Source organism: Homo sapiens, chromosome 5 (assembly GCF_000001405.40).
Source record: "Homo sapiens chromosome 5, GRCh38.p14 Primary Assembly".
Taxonomy (NCBI): Eukaryota; Metazoa; Chordata; class Mammalia; order Primates; family Hominidae; genus Homo; species Homo sapiens.
This window is the reverse complement of record NC_000005.10, coordinates 138,882,576-138,904,890: the sequence shown is the minus strand read 5'-3', so window position 1 is coordinate 138,904,890 and position 22,315 is coordinate 138,882,576. Positions and strand designations below refer to the sequence as shown.

The following is a 22,315-nucleotide window of genomic DNA, read 5'->3' as shown; positions in this document are numbered from 1 at the left end:
GATCTCCTGACCTCGTGATCCGCCCGCCTCGGCCTCCCAAAGTGCTGGGATTACAGACGTGAGCCACTGTGCCCGGCCAAAATATGTATTTTTTTTTTAAGAGATGGTGTTTTGCTATGTTGCCCAGGCTGGTCTCAGATTCCTGGGCTCAACTGACCCATCCACTTTGGGATCCCAAAGTGCTGCGATTACAGGCGTGAGCCACCGTGCCCAGCCCACTGTGCATTTTCAATGAAGGGCCAGGAGTAACATGTAATCTCCCGTGCAAATGTCACTTAATGTTAAACAAAAAATATTCCAAACTATGTGGGTTCTGTGTCAGTGATCTGTCCCCAAGACTTCCATCTAAAATCCTAAAAACAAAACAAAACTTAACAAAATAAACCTCATCTCCACTTGAATCAAAATTTAATTTGGTTATGCTGTCACCAGTGTCAGTTGTACTTTACCTGAGGACAGAGGGCTTCTAACTGGCTTGCAGACATTCGAACAAGCTTTACACCTTCTTCATTATTTGAGATGGAACAGGCCAAGTTGGCAACCTATAAACATAAAAAATAATCTTTAAAGATTTTTCTCTTTTGACTGCTAAGGAAAAAACACACACCTGGCCCTACCTCTGACCATTCTGGAACAGATGACAAGGGCACCAAGGGTGCCTCCCTTCTCACAGCCTGATTATTTACTTAGATGAGGACACATTTTTAACTCTACACAAAGCAAACTATACAGACTCATAACATACATCACATTGCAGGTTGGTGGCAAAACCTTGAAAGATCCCAGGGCCTGTAACTCACATGCTTTGCATGGCCTCTAACCCGCCTGAACAGTAACTTCAGAAAAAGGTTCTTCTAGTATGGGCAATAAGGTGAGAAAAGCTGAAGAATCAAGGGCATCAGGAAAGAACTGTTGTTATCCTCAAAAATGTGTTTTGCAGTGTTCTTGAAGGAAGGAAATAAAAAACTCTAAGGTGCTATGCTCATTTGACAGGGAATAGATGCTTAATTTAAGGCAAGATGAATTTTATTTGAACACCAGACAATTTTTCAAACAAAAAAAAATAACATGAAGACAACATCAAGATGGACCAAAGGCAATCATGATCAAAAGTGGAAAAGGAAACTGGTTATGTTTCATAGTTAAAAGCAAAACTGCCCTTCAACTGGGTTCTCAAAAACACTGACAGCTTGAATCTCTCCTGGCTGATGCGGCTTAATTTGAACCGAAATCTTTACCTTCCCGTCCAGCCATCTCAATGATACAGCTCACGTGGCCAGGAACAATCTTTCCAGGTTGTGTCATACTTCCTTTGCTGAAGCTCTGGAATGTTACTGCGTAGTGACTGCTAAGGCTGTGATCACTTATCCATATTTCTAAATGAACAGGCTTGCCAATTCCATTAGCAATATCTGGGCCCAACTGAATACACGGTACTGAGACACATCTTTACCCCAGTTGCAAACTGAGTTATGAATGATAAAGGCGTAGGCAGTTGAATATCAGAGGCACTTTCTGGGAATTTAAATGCTAGAGTAAACAAGGGCAATGGCAATAACCTTTGATTTTCACTCCTCCGCCCAACTTAAGCACATAAACACATCAGAAAAATTATACACTATTACGGCAGTTGTTTGTAGTGCTACAGTTAAGGATTATCAGCTTTCTATAAGACTGCTAACTATCAGAATCCTGCAATGCCCAAACACAAGGAGAAACAAAAGAAGTTAACGTGCAATTTAAACATAAAAATGTAAAGGAACTGGAAAGTCAGATCTCTGATGTTTATGAGTCCTTCAAAGTCACATAAAGAAGCAACACTTATACTCCCTGACACTTACAGTTCCACCTTCTCTGTCATCTGGACCCAAGCAGAGAGACATTTCTTTTCAGGATGACAAATCTACAGAGATGACTGGGGATTTCTATTTGTTTGCTTAAAAAATCACTGCAAAATATGACCTAAGATAAATTTTGTAAAATGTAAGACTTAAAAAAAAAGGAAACAAATATTCATTGAAGGAGAAAGCTTGAATTAGATGTGTTCATGAAGAGTAATCTACAACTTCTATTGCTTCACTGCCTTAAGACGACATTTTGAACAACAAACATAAAATCTGATGATGATCATTGAAAAAATTAGCATTTTGTGACTAACAAAGATCGCTGGTGTACCGGGCACGGTGGCTCATGCCTGTAATCCCAGCACTTTGGGAGGCCGAGGCGGGCGGATCATGAGGTCAGGAGATCGAGACCATCCTGGCTAACACGGTGAAACCCCGTCTCTACTAAAATACAAAAAAATTAGCCGGGCGTGGTGGCAGGCGCCTGTAGTCCCAGCTACTCGGGAGGCTGAGGCAGGAGAATGGCGTGAACCTGAGAGGCGGAGCTTGCAGTGAGCCGAGATCACGCCACTGCACTCCAGCCTGGGCGACAGAGCGAGACTCCGTCTCAAAAACAAAAACAAAAAACAAAGATCCCTGGTGAGGTGCCCAGCACCCTGCCTATTCCAATCATTTAGGAGGCCACTTGAATGCTGGATCCAGGACAGTCACTACTAGCACAATCTTATTTCAATCTATATTCTCAATCTTATGAATCCTTAAAACTCAGAAAAATATTTAAATTAAGAAGCAAAAGATTTTTAAAAAAGAAGCAAAAGATTACGTAAGTACTCTCTACATCAGACACATGAGGGTAGTGTGTGGCTAAGGCTGAAATGGCTGTTAAACCATCTTTTCTGTTTCATGATTACAAACACTAACAAAACAAAGGTTATGGAAGACTTGTTCTTTATTTTAAAACATTACTTTAAAATATTTCTGGTGTACTGTTGAAGCAGTAATGTTCTACAAGAGCACACTGCCTATTTCAGGAGGCCTGGGAGGAGGAAGGAGTGCCTGTCACTAACAGTCTTCTCCAGATGAATGAGCTTCAATTCACCCCCCAGGGACAGGGCTACTCACTTCTAACAATGACAAATGTGCAAATGCAACATCATGACCATAGCTCTCTGAGAGGCTAACCTCACATACTAGTGTCAGGCCTGACTACAGTGAAAGGAGAGGGCGAGGAGAGGAGCTTCCTAAATGCCTCTTTCTGTGGAAAATCTGGGGCTCTAGAATGACGTAACTATTAACAATGAGACTAAAGAAGATCCTGAGGTTAGAATGAGAAACACTCTGAGCTGGGTGCAGTGGCTTCCAGTCCAAGGCAAGAGGATCACTTGAGGCTAGGAGTTTGTGACCAGCCTGGGCTACATAGCAAGACCCCATCTCTATACATTAAAAAATTTTTCATTGGCTGGGTGTGGTGGCACGCACCTATAGTCCCAGCTAATTGGAAGGCTGAGTTGGGAGAATAGCTTGAGCCCAGAAGGTCGAGGCTGCAGCAAGCCATGACTGCAAGACCATGTCCCAAAAAAAGAAAGAGGCTGGGTGTGGTGGCTCATGCTTGTAATACCAGCAGTTTGGGAGGCCGAGGTGGGCGGACTGCTTGAGGCCAGGAGTTGGGAGACCCACCCCTGGCCACATAGTGAAACCTCACCTCTACTAAAAATACAAAAATTGGCCCAGCGTGGTGGCACGCCCCTGTAATCCCAGCTGCTTGGGAGGCTGAGGCATGAGAATTGCTTGAACTCAGGAGGTGGAGGTTGAAGTGAGCTGAGATGGCGCCACTGCACTCCAGCCTGGACAACAGAGCGAGACTCTCTCAAAAAAGAGAAAAGAGAAAAGAGGGGAGGGGAGGGGAGCGGAAGAGAAGAGAAGAGAAAAGAAAAACACTTGGAGCAGTTAACTTCCACAGAGAACCCAGCAGAGCCAAGACTTCGTAGAACAGTGAGAAGTATCTCTGGATTTGTTAGGAGAATAAATTATTATCTTTCCTACCACAGTTACTTGTATTAACAACTAAAATGTCTCTGATTCCCACTATTCGAAGAGGTAGGCTAAGACTGACACCACAACCACTAGTTTGAGATCAGGCAGCCCTCTTTTGTACCATCTGTGCCTACTGTGTGGAAGTTTGGACCTTGCGGAAGAGCAGGTTTCAGAAAACATTTAAACAATCGGCCTTGGGTTTTGCTGGTTTCAGGAAAACCCAAGCTCAAATCTGAGCTGTTGAGGAAATGACTCACAGCCCCCCTGTGTCAGATCAACAGATTAGACATCTGTACATGACAGACAACTTTTTCAGTCTTTTAGGAAGGCTCTACCTTTACTCCACGATGGATGATCTTTACTTACATAAAATTTGTTAAATGAAGTTTCATTTAGGAAAAAATCCCATTATGACTTTATTTCAATCCTGCTCCTTCTGTAACCATAATGACTATTTTTCTCTATTATACATAGATTTATGATTTACTGAAGTCGAACACAAGTTGTTTCCCACTTCCTTAACTGCTCCTGGCTTCCTATTTGGCTGAGTTCCTCTTATCCTGGAATGTTTGTAGGAAGACAAGATAAGATTTCTTTTTGTTCTTGATAATAAATTAATGACTGACTCTCATAACAGTTTATACCTGTTGTAGGAGTAAGCAAGTGAGAAGAGATGTGGGACAGGGAGCTTTTAAGTCTAAATAATGACCCACCAACGCAGCAGCAGCCCAAAGGAACAGAGTTCAAAACATTCATCTCTTCCCCTGTGCCCCTGGGCCAAGCTAGCACCCGAGTTTTCTTCTTTAAAATGATCTGAATGTCTAAAAGTCAAAAATAACAATAAAATCAAAAACTCAACTTTTACAAACTTGTCGTACATAAAGTAAAAGTCCCAAATGCAGGTCATAACATTTCAGAGGCACTCAATAAGTTTTTAACAACTACTTCCAAACCCACAGGGGAAATGATGATAAGCCCCTACCTTTCCAATTTCCAGGGAAAGGTGTTGGTGATCTTATTAGGAGAAATAAGATATCTTACAATACTGAAAAATGAAGTATGCATGGATAATAGAAAAATTCTACAACTAGATTGTGGTGATGGGTGCACAGTTCTGTAAACTTACCAAAATCTGAATTGTACACTTAAAATGGTTAATTTTATGGTATACAGATTATGCTTTAATAATGCTTTTTCAATTTTTAATGCAGAGCTAGGCAGGTGAAAAATTAAGAGAAATTGTCAGAGGCTAGAAAAGAGAAAGGAGAACTTCAGAGAAGTAAGCAATCAGCCAAAACAGTGTTTCCTCTGGTGGGTGGTGGGGGGTTTTGCAGGGAGGCACCATTTCATGATGAGAACTTGGGTTTTAATGGGCCAAGGCCAGGGTCCTCTCAAGGTAGATGACTCAGATCAGAGACTGCGCAGAGCTGGAACAGGCAAAAGGCAACAACCCTAGTAAGTGACCAACCCTAAGAGTGATCAAGAAAGTCACCATGGAAAGAGGGTATTTCTCAGTCTAAGCATTCGCTCAGGGAGGAAAAGAAGAAAAAGCCCCTATACCCCACTCCAAATTCTAATCAAAAGCTGGCAGAGGTTTAGGTATAGAAATTATGTTATGTATATGGTTCAGAAAACTTTTACATTTAAGAGGTTATGTATTAGTAGTACCTCTAAGCAGGTGGCAGAAGCAAATATAAATGAAAATTTTACCTCATGGAAGGTAAGCTAAACACAGGCTTCAAAGAATTCCCACAATAAAACTCCAGGAATGTGAACTCACAAATTAAAAAAACAAAAACAAAAACAAAAGTATACAAGGAAATGAGCCGTCTTGGGCAAGAATAAGCAAAACCACCACCTGTGTAATCAGATCCATAATAACGCAATACTCAAATGATCGAAAATGCAATTTAAAAAATATATTTATGTTAACAGAAGAGTACAGATAAGGAAAAAGACACTCAAAAATAATTAGGCAGATTTGAAAAGGATCAAAATAGAAGTTCAAGAAAAAAGTAGTAATTTCTACCACTTCTAGAAATTTAAAGTGATATTGACTTAAACTCTACTGAAAAGAGAATTAGTAACCTAGAAAGTCAAAATGAGGAAATTCTTTAGAAAAACCAAGATATTTTCATCTTATGGAAAATGTGGAAACCACAAAAGAATTTAAGAGACATGCAAGATAAACTGAGAAAGTCTACTATTTAACTACCAAGAATTTCAAAGAAAGAACAGAGAGAATGATGGGAAAGACAATGCTGAAAGAGATAATGGCTGAATGTTTTTCAGAAGGGATGAAATATCATTTTCAGACTTGGGAAGACAAATTCCAAATGGGGCAAATAAAAAGAAATCCACACTTAGACATGTCGTAGTAAAGCTTTAGGATAACTTTTTTTTTTTTTTTTAAGACAGGGTCTCACTCTGTCACACAGGCTGGAGTGCAGTGGTGCAGATCACCACTCAGATGATCTTGTAATCATTTCCATTCACATGGTATTATATGAACCACTTTTAAAGTTCTCTACTTCTAGTCTACCTAAGTGTGTGAATAATTTATAAGTAAAGCTAGCAAAGGTACTCTCTAAACATTAATCCATCAGCTCTACTGATGAGGAAACAAGAAGGCTGTATTAGGCCATTCTTGCATTGCTATAAAGAAATATCTGGGATTGGGTAATTTATAAGAAAAGAGGTTTAATTGGCTCACAGTTCTGCAGGCTGTACAGAAAGCATAGTAGCACCTGCTTCTGAGGAGGCCTCAGGAAATTTCCAATCATGGTGCAAGGCAAAGGTGGGAGCAGACATATCACACGGTAAGACGAAGAGCAAGAGAAGGGGTGGGGGGGGGTGGGGGAGGAAGGTGCCACACACTTTTAAATGACCAGATCTCATAAGAACTCACTATCACAAAGACAGCACCAGCTATGACAGATCCAAACACCTTGATCCAACACCTCCCACCAGGTCCCTGGAGATTACAATTTAACATGAGATTTGGGCAGGGACAAATACCCAAACTGTATCAAAAGCTGTATCCAAACTGCATCTCTTTTCTGGAACAGAGCAAAGGTTGGGCAGAGTGCTTCTTTAGTCATGCCTACCAATGCTCCAAGAGAAAAGAAGAATCCTGATGCCCCTTGAGAACAAGGTTCATCCAACTGCCTTTGCTTGATCATCCCATAATGTGACGAGGTAGTTAAATTCTGCCTAAAAAGCTTATTTTTGGTCAAAGTGTTAAAAATAGAACACATGTAAGACAATTTTGTCTCAAACAAAAGTAAGGGTCTGAACTTACAAACCCTTGAATATGTGAGAAAAATCAAGCTAGTATGCTTAGAATTCTGGAATCCAAGGTCAGCATTCTCCCCAAGGACAGCTAACTTCTCTCGTGAAAACATTCCATAATCTGAGAAAACTGAAGCTTCATTTAAAATTTGCTTTTTGCCAGAATATCAGCCTACAGTACTGAGAAAATACCCAAGATGTCACAGGTAGTCACGTCAGGTCAGTGTTTAATTCAAATGCTCCTTACAGAGCCTTTTTCAAGGCCACTTTACCACATATTATCAGCATACTACGGAATAAAAGTTATAATGCAGATCATCCAATTTGCAGTTAAAATATACATTTCAAACCAATAAAGCCATAGCCTATGAAGTTCCAGATAATGGGAAATACTGTGTGTGCTGGGCGGGGGCGGGGGGGGGGGGGGTGCGGTGTGAGGTATAGGTAACAGCTCAAAAGCATGCCAGTTACATTCACTTTTTGGTTCTTAATTCACAAGGTAGTCCATGGAATAGAATCTTATTGTAGCAAATTCATTATAATAACAGCCACATTTTAATACAAGGTCTGGAGCTGAGGGGAAAGGATTTTGGACTGAAGTTACTGGTGGTAGCGGGGAAAGGATGAAACACAATCACTGTATATATCATATGAATAATATATCATTTTTATAGGCAGGATTTCATTAATGGCATTTTCCCTATGCCACTCTCTCAATTCACAAAATTGAAAATGTACTCAGAAGAGAGCAAAATAAAAGGTAAAACAATGCTCTTTGGCTGTTTAAGCTGCTCACAGCCAAAGGAGGTGGGCAAGGAATGAAGCAATTAAAAAGGACACATGGGTACTGCGTTATTGACAAAAAGGTTAATATTTCTGATAGCGAATAAATTCTTCACCTCAGTACACTTTAAATTGAAGAGCAACATAAAGAAATCATGAACTTGATAGGGGAGAAAGGGGTGAGTATAAAAGGTGTTATCCTTACCATGGCCTTGAAAGGCCATGTTATTTTATAAACAGATGAAAGAAATGCCCTCAGTGCTATGCTACACTCCAGAACAGAAGAAAATGGTAAAGGGAAGAGCCATCCAGCCCACCAATACCAGCCCTCTGGCTCCTGCTCCCCTTACTCACTGGCCTTGAGGATAAACAACATCTATGCACCCTTCACACAAGAGAAGTGGCTTCAATACCATGCAGGGAGTTACCAGATTCCACTGAGAAGTGCAGTATGAGGCGGTCACAGGTCCCAGCCAGACCCTCAGAAAATAACAGTTAAGAGAGATCTCATGGCGAATATTCTGCTATTTGCTTTTAAGTAAAATCACAAAAGATTCTTATTAAAATAAGGACCCAGAACTGGGCACAGTGATGTGCACCTGTAGTCCTAGCTACCTGGGAGGCTGAGGAGGGAGGATATCTTGAGGCCAGGAGTTTGAGACCAGTGTGGGCAAAAAAGCAAGAACCACATCTCAAAAAATAATAAAGATCCAATAGGCAGCCTGCACCACACAGACTCCCTGACACTGTGTACACACAGGGGGACTAGAGGAATTTACTTCTGTCGATAAAACCTCAATAGTCAATATGTGGTTTTTATTCTTGAAATGAATCTTATTTCCATAGTGTGATATACACACAAGGCATCATAAAACACTTCCACTTCTGAGTGGGTGTTAGCCCTAATACTACTCAGGAACTATTCACATATTTGAAGCAACTTTATGTGAAACTCCAGATTAAAGCATAACCTTTTTATACTGTTTTATTTGGTCTGGGAGAAAAGTATTTCTATCAAAGCAACAGATAAGATTTCCAAAAACCAAGTTAGCAAGAATCAACACATCTGCCCCAAATTTGTTTTGGTCATGTATTAAAATGCTACTGAAATAACAGCTTTTGTTCAACTTTCATTTCAAACTCTGATAAAATGGACAACTTGCACGTATCACCTCAGTACAATTTCTACTACATTGTAAAAAATATATACATTATATAAAATACGTATTTAGTACAAGATAATCTTTATGTGAGTAGAGATTATTGTTGTATTCACTACTATATTCCTAATGTCCAGAACTGTGACCAGGACATACTAAGAAATCTATAAATACTTATTTTAAGAATTTTGTTACAATTTTCTTCTCCCTCAAATACAGGAAGTTTGCTACAGGTTTTTGAAAGCTTCATTCTAGCCACTCCCATCCCCCCCCCCAAAAAACTGCTCAAATCAATGTCAGTTAACCTTTTCAAAAAAAATCTCCAAATTTTTCCCACCATCTCCACATCCCACAAGTTTTCCCAGTTCATTCCCCTTGTGCACACTGGGTATATATGCAAGATGCATTACAACGCTCTTTTGTGCAAATGTTACACATACTTCAGAATAAGACAAAGTCCACTAACAAGGACGATCAGTCATAATGTAGAGCTCTGCATTTCTAAAGTATAGTCTTCAGCCCACTAAATCAGAATCTTGGGGAGGGGGCTGGGTGGTAGCCCAGGAATCTGAATGTTGAGCACCTGGGCAACTCTAATGTTTATTAACTTTGAGAACCAATAGGTTCCCTCATCTAGTAGTTGCTGAGCACCTACTATATTCTAGGTACTATTCTTGGCCCATGTCCTCAGATAACTTATATTCTTTTGGAGTATGGGGTGGGGGCCAGACAAATAAGAAAATAAATTCAATAGTTTCAGATAGTAAGAAGCACTACAAAGGATGTAAAACTGGTGAATGAAAAAATGACTGCTAGAGGATGCAATGGAGGGGATAAGCGTTCCAGGAAAGTTTCTCTACAGAAGTGACATGTGGGTAGAGGGCACAGGTGGTGACATGTTTAGGTATGGTCAAAGATGAAAACTAGTCAACTATGGCAGAAGTCATTCAGCAAGGGAGACACAGGACGAAAGGCAGTTGTAGGCAGGGAAACTTAGGGGCCATGGTTGAGAATCTGGATTTTTGAATATTATTCCAGGCTTACCTAGAAGCCACAGGATGGGTGGGTCAGGGGAGGGACAGGGTTAGTGCTAGAAAATCATAATCATAATCATAATCATAATCATAATCATAATCAGGAGGCTGCTACAGAAGCCCAGTGAGAGATGGCAGTGCAGACTAGGGAGGTGGCCACAGAAACCAAGTAGACCAGGCGCAGTGGCTCACACTTGTAATCCCAGCACTTTGGGAGGCCAAGGTGGAAGGATCACTTGAGTTTGAGAACAGCCTGCACAACATGGCAAAACCCCATCTCTGCAAAAAATGAAAAAAATTAGTGAGGCATGGTGGTGCACCTGTGGCCCCAGCTACTCAGGAGGCTGAGATGGGAGGATCATCTGAGCCTGGGAGGTCAAGGCTTCAGTGAGCCATGATTGTGTCACTGCACACCAGCCTAGGTGACAAAGTGAGTCCTTGTCTCAAAAAAAAAAAAAAAAAAGAGAAAGAAAAGTAAAGGCTCTATATTATGCCTAATCTTAGGCAACATTTTTTAAACATCAGAGGCCAGGCATGGTGGCTCACACCTGTAATCCTAGCACTTTGGGAGGCTGAGGCGGGTGGATCACCTGAGGTCAGGAGTTCGAGACCAGCCTGGCCAACATGGCAAAACCCCATCTCTACTAAAAACTACAAAAATTAGCCAGGCAGGGTGGTGGGTGCCTGTAATCCCAGCTACTTGGGAGGCTGAGGCAGGGAGAATTGCTTGAACCGGGAGGCGAAGCCTGCAGTGAGCAGAGATCATGCCACTGCACTCCAGCCTAAGTGACAGAACAAGACTCTGTCTCAAAAAAAATAAATAGGCCAGGCGCGGTGGCTCACGCCTGTAATCTCAGCAGTTTGGGAGGCCGAGGTGGGAAGATCACAAGGTCAGGAGTTCGAGACCAGCCTGACCAACATGGTGAAACCCCATCTCTACTAAAAATACAAAAATTACGTGGGCGTGGTGGCACGTGTCTGTAATCCCAGCTAATCAGGAGGCTGAGGCAGGAGAATCACTTGAATCTGGGAGGTGGAGGTTGCAGTGAGCCGAGATTGCGCCACTGCACTCCAGCCTGGGTGACAGAGAGAGACTCCATCTCAAAAATAAACAAATAAATTTTAAAAAATAATTAAATAAGAAAAAATAATAAATAAATAAAATAAAAATAAAACATCAGGTTGGATAAAAGGAGAAAAGATATTTTATTTTAAAGAAAGGACACAAATGGAAGGGGGCAGCCAATAATATGTGGAAAAATGCAGCAGGAATCCTGATAGGACAGAACATGAGATGGAATATAAGGTTATACTAGATGAGTTTCAAAGCCATACATAAGAGCCAAACACCCACCCACATCCACGCTGATAGGAACGAACATGATGACACTGAGCAGCAGCACCTATGTATGGAAAGCCTAGGGATGCTGACCAACTGTGAGCTCAATGGGCATCACAAAGTGAGGCTGCTGCCCAAAAGGCTGAAGGCATCCTGGGATACACTGGGCAGTCTCCTTCCGGAATGATGACAGCCTCCACTGCTCTACCCTCATCCCCAGACCCCGGAACAGGTGTTCCGTGAGGGCTGGCCTTGAGTGAAGGGCATTCAGAGGAGAGCTGGGACAAAAATGACCCTCTAAAAGGCTCAGGGAAATCATCTAGATCAACAAAAGTACAAGAGCCACTGAAGAATTTTTAATTTATTTTTATTTATTTATTTATTTATTTTGAGACGGAGTCTATCTCTATTGCTCAGACTAGAGAGCAGCGGCGCGATCTCTGCTTACTGCAACCTCCGCCTCCCGGGTTCAAGTGATTCTCCTGCCTCAGCCTCCCGAGTAGCTGGGATTACAGGCACCTGCCACCTCACCTGGCTATTTTTGTATTCTTAGTAGAGACAGAGTTTCACCATGTTGGCCAGGCTGGTCTCGAACTCCTGACCTCAGGGGATCTGCCTGCCTCAGCCTCCCAAAGTGCTGGGATTACAGGCATGATCCACCGCACTCAGCCTGAATTTTTAAATTTTTTTAGTAGGCACATTAAAAAGGCAAAAAGGTACCAAAAATTATTTCAACATACAAGCAATATAAAAAATTATTACTGGGCCGGGCACAGTGGCTCACACCTGTAATCCCAGCACTCTGGGAGGCCGAGGCGGGCGAATCACTTGATCAAGATTGGGAGTTCGAGACTAGCCTGGCCAACATGCTGAAACTCCATCTCTTCTAAAAATACAAAAATGGCCAGGCGTGACAGCAGGCACCTGTAATCCTAGCAACTTGAGAGGCTGAGGCAGAGAATCGCTTGAAACTGGGAGGCAGAGGTTGCAGTGAGCCAAGATCATGTCACTGCACTCCAGCCTGGGCGACAGAGCAAGACTCTGTCTCAAAAAAAAAAAAAAAAAAAAAAAAAAAAACTAAGCTATTTTATATTCTTTTTCCATATTTTATATTCTTTTTCTATATCACATCCTGAAAATATGTAAGTATGTGTTAACCCAAAATATCTGAGATAGGTCTCAGTCAATTTAGAAAATTTACTTTGCCAAGGTTAAGGACACGCCTGTAACACAGCCTCAGGAAGTCCTGTGCCCAAGGTGCTTGGGGCACAGCTTGGTTTTATACATTTTAGGGAATCATGAGACATCAATCCATATATGTAAGATGTACACTGGTTCTGTCTAAAAGGCTGGACAACTCGAAGGAGGGAAGGGGCTTCCAGGTCATAGGTAGATAAGAGACAAACAGTTGCATTCTTTTGAGTTTCTGATTCCCTTTCCAAAGGAAGCAATCAATCACATATGCATTTATCCCCACAGCAGAGAAATGACTTTGCAAAGAATGGGAGGCAGGTTTGCCTTAAGCAGTTCCCAGATTGATTTTTCCCTTTAGCTTACTGATTTGGGGGTCCCAAGATTTATTTTCCTTTCACATATGTATCTTATGGTTTTTTGTTTTTGTGGTTGTTGTTATTTTATTTATTTTTTGAGACGGCGTCTCGCTCTGTCACCCAAGCTGGAGTGCAGTGGCACAACCTCGGTTGACTGCAACCTCCACCTCCTGGGTTCAAGCAATTCTCCTACCTTGCCTCGCAAGTAGCTGGGATTACAGGCACCCGCCACCATGCCCGGCTAATTTTTGTATTTTTGGTAGAGATGGGGTTTCACCATGTAGCCAGGCTGGTCTCGAACTCCTGACCTCAAGTGATCTGCCCACCTCCGCCTCCAAAAATGTTAGGATTACAGGCATGGGCCACAGTGCCCGGCCATTAATCTTATGTTTAAAGTACTTCTAATTCACATGTGTGTAATCAGCAAGCACATGGACAGGAGAGGTTCCAAAAAAAAAAGGAGGTTGTAACTCCCCTCCTCTAACAGCCAGAGAATCTACCATACCAGTTAAATATGCTGTCTCTGGAGGGAGAGTTTCCCACTGCTGAAGGATCCAATACAGACATGACAATAAAGATTACAAGTGAAAGGGATTTACACACCAGACTAAGAACCTATGATTCTATGAGAAAGGACCACTCACTCTGGTGTGAAGAGATGGGATCAGATTCCCTGCGGAGAAGAAAAAACTTGACTCAGAAAAGAGCATCTCCAGGGAAAAGGAAAGCTCAAAGCAAATAGCACCCAATAAGACAAGTGGTAAATCACTGGGTAACAACCATAAAAAGGATCGACAAAAAGCTGCAGAAACAAACTTGCCCTGCCTTACCTCTTCCAGGTGGTGTTTATGACTCTGCAGCATGCTAAGCTGGCCTGTGTAGTCAAGCTACCTAAAAATCATGCATTCCACATACCTTTAAGATGGGGAGGTATTATATAATTTGTCTGGTCTGGTCTTTGTCCTGGATTCCTGTGAGGAAACCTCTGAATCTTTGGAATTTCAGTAGTAATGGAAGAATGTTATTCATGCATGGCAAGCCCTGATAGTTTATGCTAAGGAGATTCCTCAGGATATGGGGCCAACCATGTGATTAGAGGACTGGGGCTTTCAGGGAAGGGGACTGGAGATTGAGTTCAACTATATCATTATTGGATCATCATGCCTCCATAATGAAACCCCAATAAAAACTCTGAACACTGAAACTCAGTGGAGCTTCTGGTTGGTGAAACATCAATGTGACAAGAGGATGATGAACCTTGATTTCATTGGAAGAGGCATAGAATCTCTGTATTTGAGACCTTCCCAGACTCCATCCTATGTGTCTCCTCATTTGGCTGGTCCTGATTAGTATCCTTTATAATAAAATATTCTATGAGTTGTTCTAGTGGATTACTGAAACCTGAGGTGGGTCATAGGAACCCCTCAGATTTGTACCTGGCTGGTCAGAAGTACAGGTGGCCTGGGGACCCCAGAACTTGCAGCTGACATGTGAAGTGAAGGCAAATCTTATTGGGGACCATGCCCTAAACCTGTGGGGTCTGCACTAACTTCTGGTGATTAGCATCAGAACTGTATTGCAGTATTTTAGGAGGAGCACTCAACCCAAACACATCTGGCAGACTTCTCAGTGGCTGCAATGTCTGAACCTCTCCTCTCTTGCCAGAGGCTTATCACCATCAACCCTGCCCAACTTTCATATAGCACTCTCACTTCCCTTACACCCCAGGGAAAATGGCAAATGGCCCTTAAAACCAAAGTTGGCCTGTAGACATTTAATCCAGTTAGAACAAGAAGAAATGAAGCAGTCAAGAAATTAACACTCACAATGAAATATTTTACCTTTGCTTAAAACAAGTCACTGACTAGTTCAAAGTGTTTCATTATAATACAAAAGTGGTAGGGGAGGAGAAGCCTTGTCACTGAAGAATAAAATTCTGCCATAAGTCAGGAATTTGAGGCTTCTACAACACTTTAAAAATTTATTTCCTTTTCATGGACATATGCAATTATACATCCTAGTGTCTCTATTACCGTAAATGTAATTTAACTGTTTGCAGAATGGGACTACAAAGCCTATGGTTATGCCTCAAGCAATGAAAAGCCATGTGTCATTTAATGCATAGTTAACGTGTGGGGGTGTGGAGAGAAGAGAGGTTAGAAAGGGGTCAGAACTGAGCTGTGATGGGGAACACCAAACTCTCAATTCTGGGGGGTGGGGGTGGGGGGGCCTTTGGTTAGTAGTGTTCAGAATTAAATGAAATACAATAAAATATATAAGCTTGGAAAAAGCTCCTGGAGCAAGGTCTCCAATACTTCCTCGCCCACTCAATGCTTCAGTGGGGTATTAGGCTGTCCACTAAGCCAGTGAGCTTGAGTGCACAGTGCTCATTATTGGAGGGATGTAAGCCAGGTGAACTTAGGCAACTTACTTAACCTCTGTAAACCTGTTTCCTTACCTGAGAAATGTTGTGGGAAGTACACTGTACTTGCACATAGCTGATACACAGTAGGTGCTCAGCAAATGTCAGCTCTCTTAGGCTGGAGAGGCAGAGGATAATGCAGCTGGCCCTAATAAAGGATGCTCCAATACAGACAAGGACTGCCCTCTCTTCAGCTGCCACACTCAGCCCTTCACCACACTGGTACCCAAGGCCTTGGGCTGGCAGCATCCTTGCTTCCTACCATGCGGAAGAACTTTCTAATATGTATGCTACTTACAAGAGACTGGCTTCCTGAGCGCAATCTGTGTGTATCTGGAAGTTATACCTCATGCTGTCATGTGACTATTGTGAACAAGATTATGCTTAATGGAGATACAAAATCAAAGTCTTCTAATTTTAGTTTCAAATGCCAGAATCATTAACTTAAATAGCAGACTGACCTATGTATTCTGTAAATAATGAATTCAGGTCAGAATAACACTTAATGTTCAAAGAAAATGATGTAAAATTAGTAATGCACGATGTGACTACTGGTGTCTTCCTCGGAAAATTTTTATGGTATTAACGTGGCCTAGCCAGGCGCAGTGGCTCACGCCTATAATCCTAGCACTTTGGGAGGCCAAGGCGGGTAGATCACTTGAGGTCAGGAGTTTTGAGACCAGCCCCGTCTCTACTAAAAAAAAAAAAATACAAAAAAATTAGCCAGGCATGGTGGCGGGTGCCTGTAATTCCAGCTACTCAGGAGGCTGAGGCAGGAGAATTGCTTGAACCCAGGAGGCAGAGATTGCAGTCAGCTGAGATTGTCCCACTGCACTTCAGCCTGGGCTACACAGCAAGACTCAGTTTCAAAACAAACAAATAAAAACAAAACAAAACGTGGCCTAATATCACTATAAATTCAAAAGTACGAGACACACATTTTACATAAGGTCCCGTTTTCTGTTTTTACACAATGACCAGCTTACCATATGGTATATGGAATATCTTTACCAAGTATTAGATGTTCTGCATTAAGATTACAAAATCAAATAACTTGAATATATGCTTATTTTGTGTCCCATTTCCAAAATACAGCAATAATGAATAAATTAAGTAACATAATTTCAGTTAGCAAAAGGAGAAGTAAGCCTAACTTACCTGCGAAATAAGTCACGATTCACTCTTTCTTCTTGCCACCCTACAAACCAACTACTAACATACAGATTTCTACCAAGCAAATGTAACTAATTAGCCCCATGTCAGGGCTCAGTTTCTCTGCTTTTAAAACAAGACTGGTCTGAGTCTATGTCTCAGGCATAAAGCTAAGCATTTGACATACATCATCTTTTTAGGTCCTCAAAATAATCCCAAGATAGATATTATCAGTGTCCTAATTTTACAGACAAGAAATGGCAATTGAGGAAGGTTAGGTTAGCTTGTCAGGATGCAAGCGCAGGCAGTGTGGTTCCTGAGCTCTGGTTCTTAGGCATTGTTGCTTTCTATCCTATCTTTTGAGTCTAGTCATGTCATGATTTATCTTTATTTGCATTAAGTGGAGATGTTAGGCTTCTAGGATAGGAACTGTTAGTATTTAATAACGTACATAGTTAATGTAAAGTGACCAAAATGGTAGTTTTCCTTAGATGTTAAGTGATAATGAAAGACTATCATCTCAGACATGTTGTATGTTAAGCGAGCCCTTACAAATTTTAACTGATTAAATAATGTGATTAAAACTCACCACACTTCACCAAGTTGCCTACAAGTCAATGAAACTGCTAATTCACTTACCTCAATCAATTTGTTGGCATGTTCACGGAAAACTTGGGCATACTCCTTAACTTCTTTCTCATTTCCATTCTTTGCAGCTTCAATCAATACCAAAAGTGGAACATTGGTTTCCAGGAAAGAATCTGAAACGTGGTCCATGACAGCTTTGCGGAGCTAATGATTAAATTGTAAAAATTTGATTTTATTTCTACCAAAAAGGTATTAAATAGATTGCTTTTTATTCTCTTGTACACTTAAATCTAATGAAGCTTACGGTAGACTTGCTGCACTTACATGAGGACCCCTCATGTAAGCCATGCAGTTACATAATCTACAACACAGGAAACATGATCATGGAGACAATGGTTTACATTACTACAGTTACAGCATTTCAGCAACAGAATCTCAGTTCTTAAGACAATATCCTTTTTTCTTGGGAATTACAAAACTAGGGCTTACAACTTAAATAATACAAAAGCTGAACTGAAAGCAGCTCTGGGTTGAACTGGCACATAGCCTTGGAATATATATATAATTAGCCTAATTGGCTAAATAAAAAGAGAAGAGAGAAAAAAGAGTTATCTGGCTTATCTGAAAGGATTCACACACTATGAACCTTAAAACTTAAGGTTCTCTTTATAACCATTTCTGATACTGCTTCACCAAAAGGAAATTGAATAAAGATATATTTTATCTTTAATTTTGTTTTATATCAGACATAAGCAATAAAATATCTGTCCATTACCTCTTAAAAATTGTCTGTATTACAACTTCTTAAGTCTTAATACATTGCTTTATAAAATCAACTCTAACTTCTTTAAAGACTAAAACTCAATTTGACTCCAAATGTTAATGGGGTCATTTATCATTAAAAGGTTCGATTTCTCTACTCTGTATTTACTAACTCAGAAAATTCAGCACCTCAAATATCTCTATACCTACCATATTTGGAACTGGAAACATTTCACCATGGATCTAAGGGAACTGCAAGTGTGTAATGAGTATAGGGCAAGTCAGATAAACAACTGAAATTTCTGTCTCTATTGTACATAGTCAATACAACAAGATCCTTCAGGATTATTTTCACAGGTCTCCAAGTCATTTTAAATTTATTTTCCTACCTGTACATGCCTTTCACACTAGAGCTAACTTATTCAGTCCAACACAGTGAGACTGTATTATCCCATGTCTTCATGAAATTTGATTAGCCATTAAGAAGCATATTAGCAACAAAACAAAGATAGGCACTTTCTTGTGAAAATCCATCCTTTCTCTCAATAAAAAAATATAAGGCCAGTGCTTATTAGGATTTTAATCAAAACTACAAAATTGAGAACTTAGAAAAACAATCAGCACTTTCATCCAGATTACCTGTCTACGCAAGTCCCTGGTCTTCTTGGTCATTTTATCTATTGCAGAATTGAGTGCATCACTTCTTTCTTTACGTCCAGCCTGGATAAAAGGAAAAGAGATGAGCATTTTATTCATTTACAAAGAAACCTAATGATAGCCTATAGCCATTTGTGCTCATGTCAACACTGAAAAAGCAGTACAACTTCTTAAACTCAAAGTTGGAAAATACTGGGGAGCAGAGGGGTGTTATGTGGCTTTATTCATAAAAACCCAACCTTACAATTCTTGGGCTCCACATTATCTGATGACTGGAATTGAGGGAGTTTTGCCAAAATAAGAGAAGCCAAGAGACAAAGAGCTTTGCTTAAAGTTTGGCTTTTAAAAATTAAATTTATATTTTAACTCAAGGTTCAGCATACACCAATTTTATTAATGAAGCAGCTCTCCTTGAACTGCAGCAAGAACAGGGTACACCTGATTTTGATGAACTCTGAGATCTGAAGAATGTCAAGATGTGAAAAATGGGACCTGGCACTGAAACAATGTGAAACAACAAATTTAAAAACTAAGATGTACCTGATAGGTCAGAGCTAATAATGTTTATTATGCAGCTCAAATCATAATGCTTTGTAGGATTACTTTGGTCACTTTAAAAAAATCCTAGACTAAGCTTTAATGCAGTTATATTGCACAGAAAAGAACCCGCTAGTCACTCTTGAAGTGGTATGTAAAACAGCATGTCTTCAGAGGTCAAGGTGCTGAGTCGAGATTTGCCAGGGTAACATTCTAAGCAGAATCAAATGGAATAAAATAGCAGTTGAAAGAAAAGGAACAAAAGTCTTTTTTTAAATCCCAGGTGGAGATTGTTGTGTCCCTGGAAATGCCTACATCATGTAGGTTAAACTATAAAGTATATATAAAGTATATTAAAAGCTTGTTTTCGCAAAACAAATACGGTTCTTTCTGAAAAACATGTCAGCAAATAATAGGAGAGATACAAATGAACAAAGGAATTTAGCCCATTGTTCTCCCTTTGGATGCCCTCAAGACATTTTGGTATGGGTATGCTCTTAGTACACAAGCCAGTAGAGCAGATGAATGGTTAGGAATGGGGAGATCTGTTTACTAAGTGCCTTTAATGTACATTTGTTATTCACTTTATCTCTTATCCCTTACCTGTCAATTGTGGAAAATGCCACCTATCTCTCTATGGACTGTTAGAAATATTGAGGGATATAGGTTATTTAGCAAAGGGCAGAAAGGAGACAACAGGGAATAGTAAGAGTTGAAATATAAGTAAAATTGATATGATCACTATCAAATCTGGTTATGGTCTCATTCCTTAAGCCTTTCCCCCTAGCACTCTTGTACTGCCAATCAAATTAAATATTCCATTAATACTGATGGGGAGGAGAGGTCTCAACAAAAACTCATTCAAATAGGAAGATTTCTACCTGCAGGAATAAACTGATTTATTCAGGGTCATGAATGTCAACCAACCAACTGAATGGACCCCCTTCTCAGCCAGGGCATTCCAAAGTAAACTTGAAAAACTAGTTTAGGCCATCATGGGAAGGAGGGAGTTGGATGTGCCTCATTATACTCTCCTCCCTTTGGAATTCAGGCACAACTGTCCAGCACTAACATTAAAACAGACTTAAGACTGACAAAGCAGATTATTTGTAGCAATAAGATACCAAATTCCAAATGGACTCTAGTATAACATCACATGACAGATAGCAGGCCCTGAAAGAAATCCAACTATTTTACCCCAAAATGTATTTATCTGAAATATTAATATTTTGAAATGGCCCTGCAAATTGGTCACTTTTGGGGAAAATCTACATTCTGTAGAGAATCTCCTTCCCTTTCTAGGTTTTTTCCTGATTTAGGAGAAATTTAACTAAGAATCTGGCACCTTTTAGGATCTGATTTGCCATCTAATATCTGAAGCCTACTACCTGGAGGCTTCATCTACATAACAAGAACCTTGGCTTCCCGCCTCCATTTATCTTAACTACAAACATTTCTTTCTGCCAACTTTAGCTCTTCAGGGAGAGCTTAATCCTTTCAACTAACTGCCATCAGGAAATCTTTGAATCCACCTATGACCTGGAAGCCCCCCACCAACCCTTTCAAACTGTCCAGGCTTTCAGGACCAAACCAATGTACACCTTACATGTGTTGATTGATGTCTACCTATAAATTCTGTCCCCCTAAAATGTATAAAATCAAGGTATGACCCAACCACCTTGGGAATATGTTCTTGAGACTGTGCCTTGGGCCTTGGCCACTCATATTGGGCCCTAGAATATTTATTTCTTCAAACATTCTACAGAGTTTGACTCTTTCTTGTTGACACTAGTCAGCTTGAGACGTGCAATTATTTACTGGCAATCTTAAAGCTCAAAATACCAGGATCTAAGACAAAGGTAGCTAAAACTGAATCACAATCAAACTGACTTCATAATTAATGCTTTAATCAGGAAAGTCTCAGCATATTCCTTAAGATACTCAAGCACTCACGTCAAGAAAATTTCTCTAAATAAACCCTGTAAAGTTTGCCATTGTTCCTAGCCACATTTTTCTGGTGTTTCTAATAGATCATTTGTTCTAGAAAACACTTAGAATCTGAAACCCAAAGGTTGAGCATGTAGACTTCATGAAAGCCCAATCCCCTACAACCTGAAATGCCCAGGAATTTTCTCAATTTGAGTAAAAAGATTTACTGTTCAAGTTATGTAAAACCAAATCCTTGAATTTGACTTTTGAAAGAATTACAGTCACACAGCAAAATTCACTTTAAGATGCAATGCAACCCACACCATGAATCTGTTAATTCTGTCTTTGTCAAACTACCCAAAAAATCAATTTGTCTTTCTTGTTATTGCAGGAAATAGAGGTTTATGCCTCATTAATCAGAAGGGGAGCAGTTTAGGAGCAGTTATTTACTAAGCCCTTTAAGTTATACTAGACAGACCATTTTAAAATCACAGTATCATTTTAGAAAAATACAGTCCAAATAGCAAGTTTAGGGTACCAATCATTTAAAATGTAATAGAGATGAGTACACATAGACACACTCACAACCTTAACACTGAGCTTGAGGAAAGTATAAAGCTTGCTCATTTTAAAACAAGATTCTGCCAGGCGCGGTGGCTCATGCCTGTAATCCTAGCACTTTGGGAGGCTGAGGCGGGTGGACAGCCTGAGATCAGGAGTTTGAGACCTTTAGCCTCAAAGCTGAAACCTTTGGTTTCAGCCTGACCAATATGGTGAAATCCTGTCTCTACTAAAATTACAAAATTACAAAAATTAGCCAGGCGTGGTGGCATGTGCCTGTAATCCCAGCTACTCGGGAGGCTGAGACAGGAGAATCCCTTGAACCCGGGAGGCAGAGGTTGCAGTGAACCGAGATTGTGCCATTGCACTCCAGCCTGGGTGACAAAGCGAGACTCCGTCTCAAAAAACAAACAAACAAACAAAAACAAGATTCTACTTCTTTTGAGATTAAAGTTATGATTTTTTATTTCTAGCATTAACTGAACAAAAATTACGTTACTCAAACATAACCTTAGGAAAAGCAACCCTGTAGCGTATAACTATTACTGGAAGTAGTGAGGAAACTTTTTACTCCAACCCTTGCCAGTTTGGAAGGGATGAAATATGTTCCTGGCATTGCTGGTGGCATCTCAAGGCACATTTTAGTCCCTAAATGAAAAGGCAAAGGTTTCC

General features: G+C 40.4%; 1 protein-coding gene across 37 annotated transcripts in view; it reads right to left on the bottom strand.

The window, feature by feature from the left end:
• The window catches only part of CTNNA1 (catenin alpha 1), a 181,610-nt gene that overhangs the window by 30,144 nt on the left and 129,151 nt on the right, over nucleotides 1-22,315 (bottom strand). For 32 of the 37 annotated variants that reach the window (NM_001323982.2, NM_001323984.2, NM_001290307.3 and 29 more), the window contains 3 exons: nucleotides 18,599-18,679; nucleotides 17,249-17,401; nucleotides 450-542 (listed from right to left, as the gene is read on the bottom strand). The exons of 1 other annotated variant lie outside the window; for it this stretch is intronic. In NM_001323982.2, the coding sequence (NP_001310911.1) occupies nucleotides 450-542; nucleotides 17,249-17,401; nucleotides 18,599-18,679 (327 nt within the window). Of the gene's footprint in view, nucleotides 1-449; nucleotides 543-13,679; nucleotides 13,709-17,248; nucleotides 17,402-18,598; nucleotides 18,680-22,315 lie in introns of all 37 variants that reach the window. 4 more of the 37 variants (NM_001323986.2, NM_001324011.1, NM_001324013.1 and 1 more) reach the window with 3 other exon arrangements.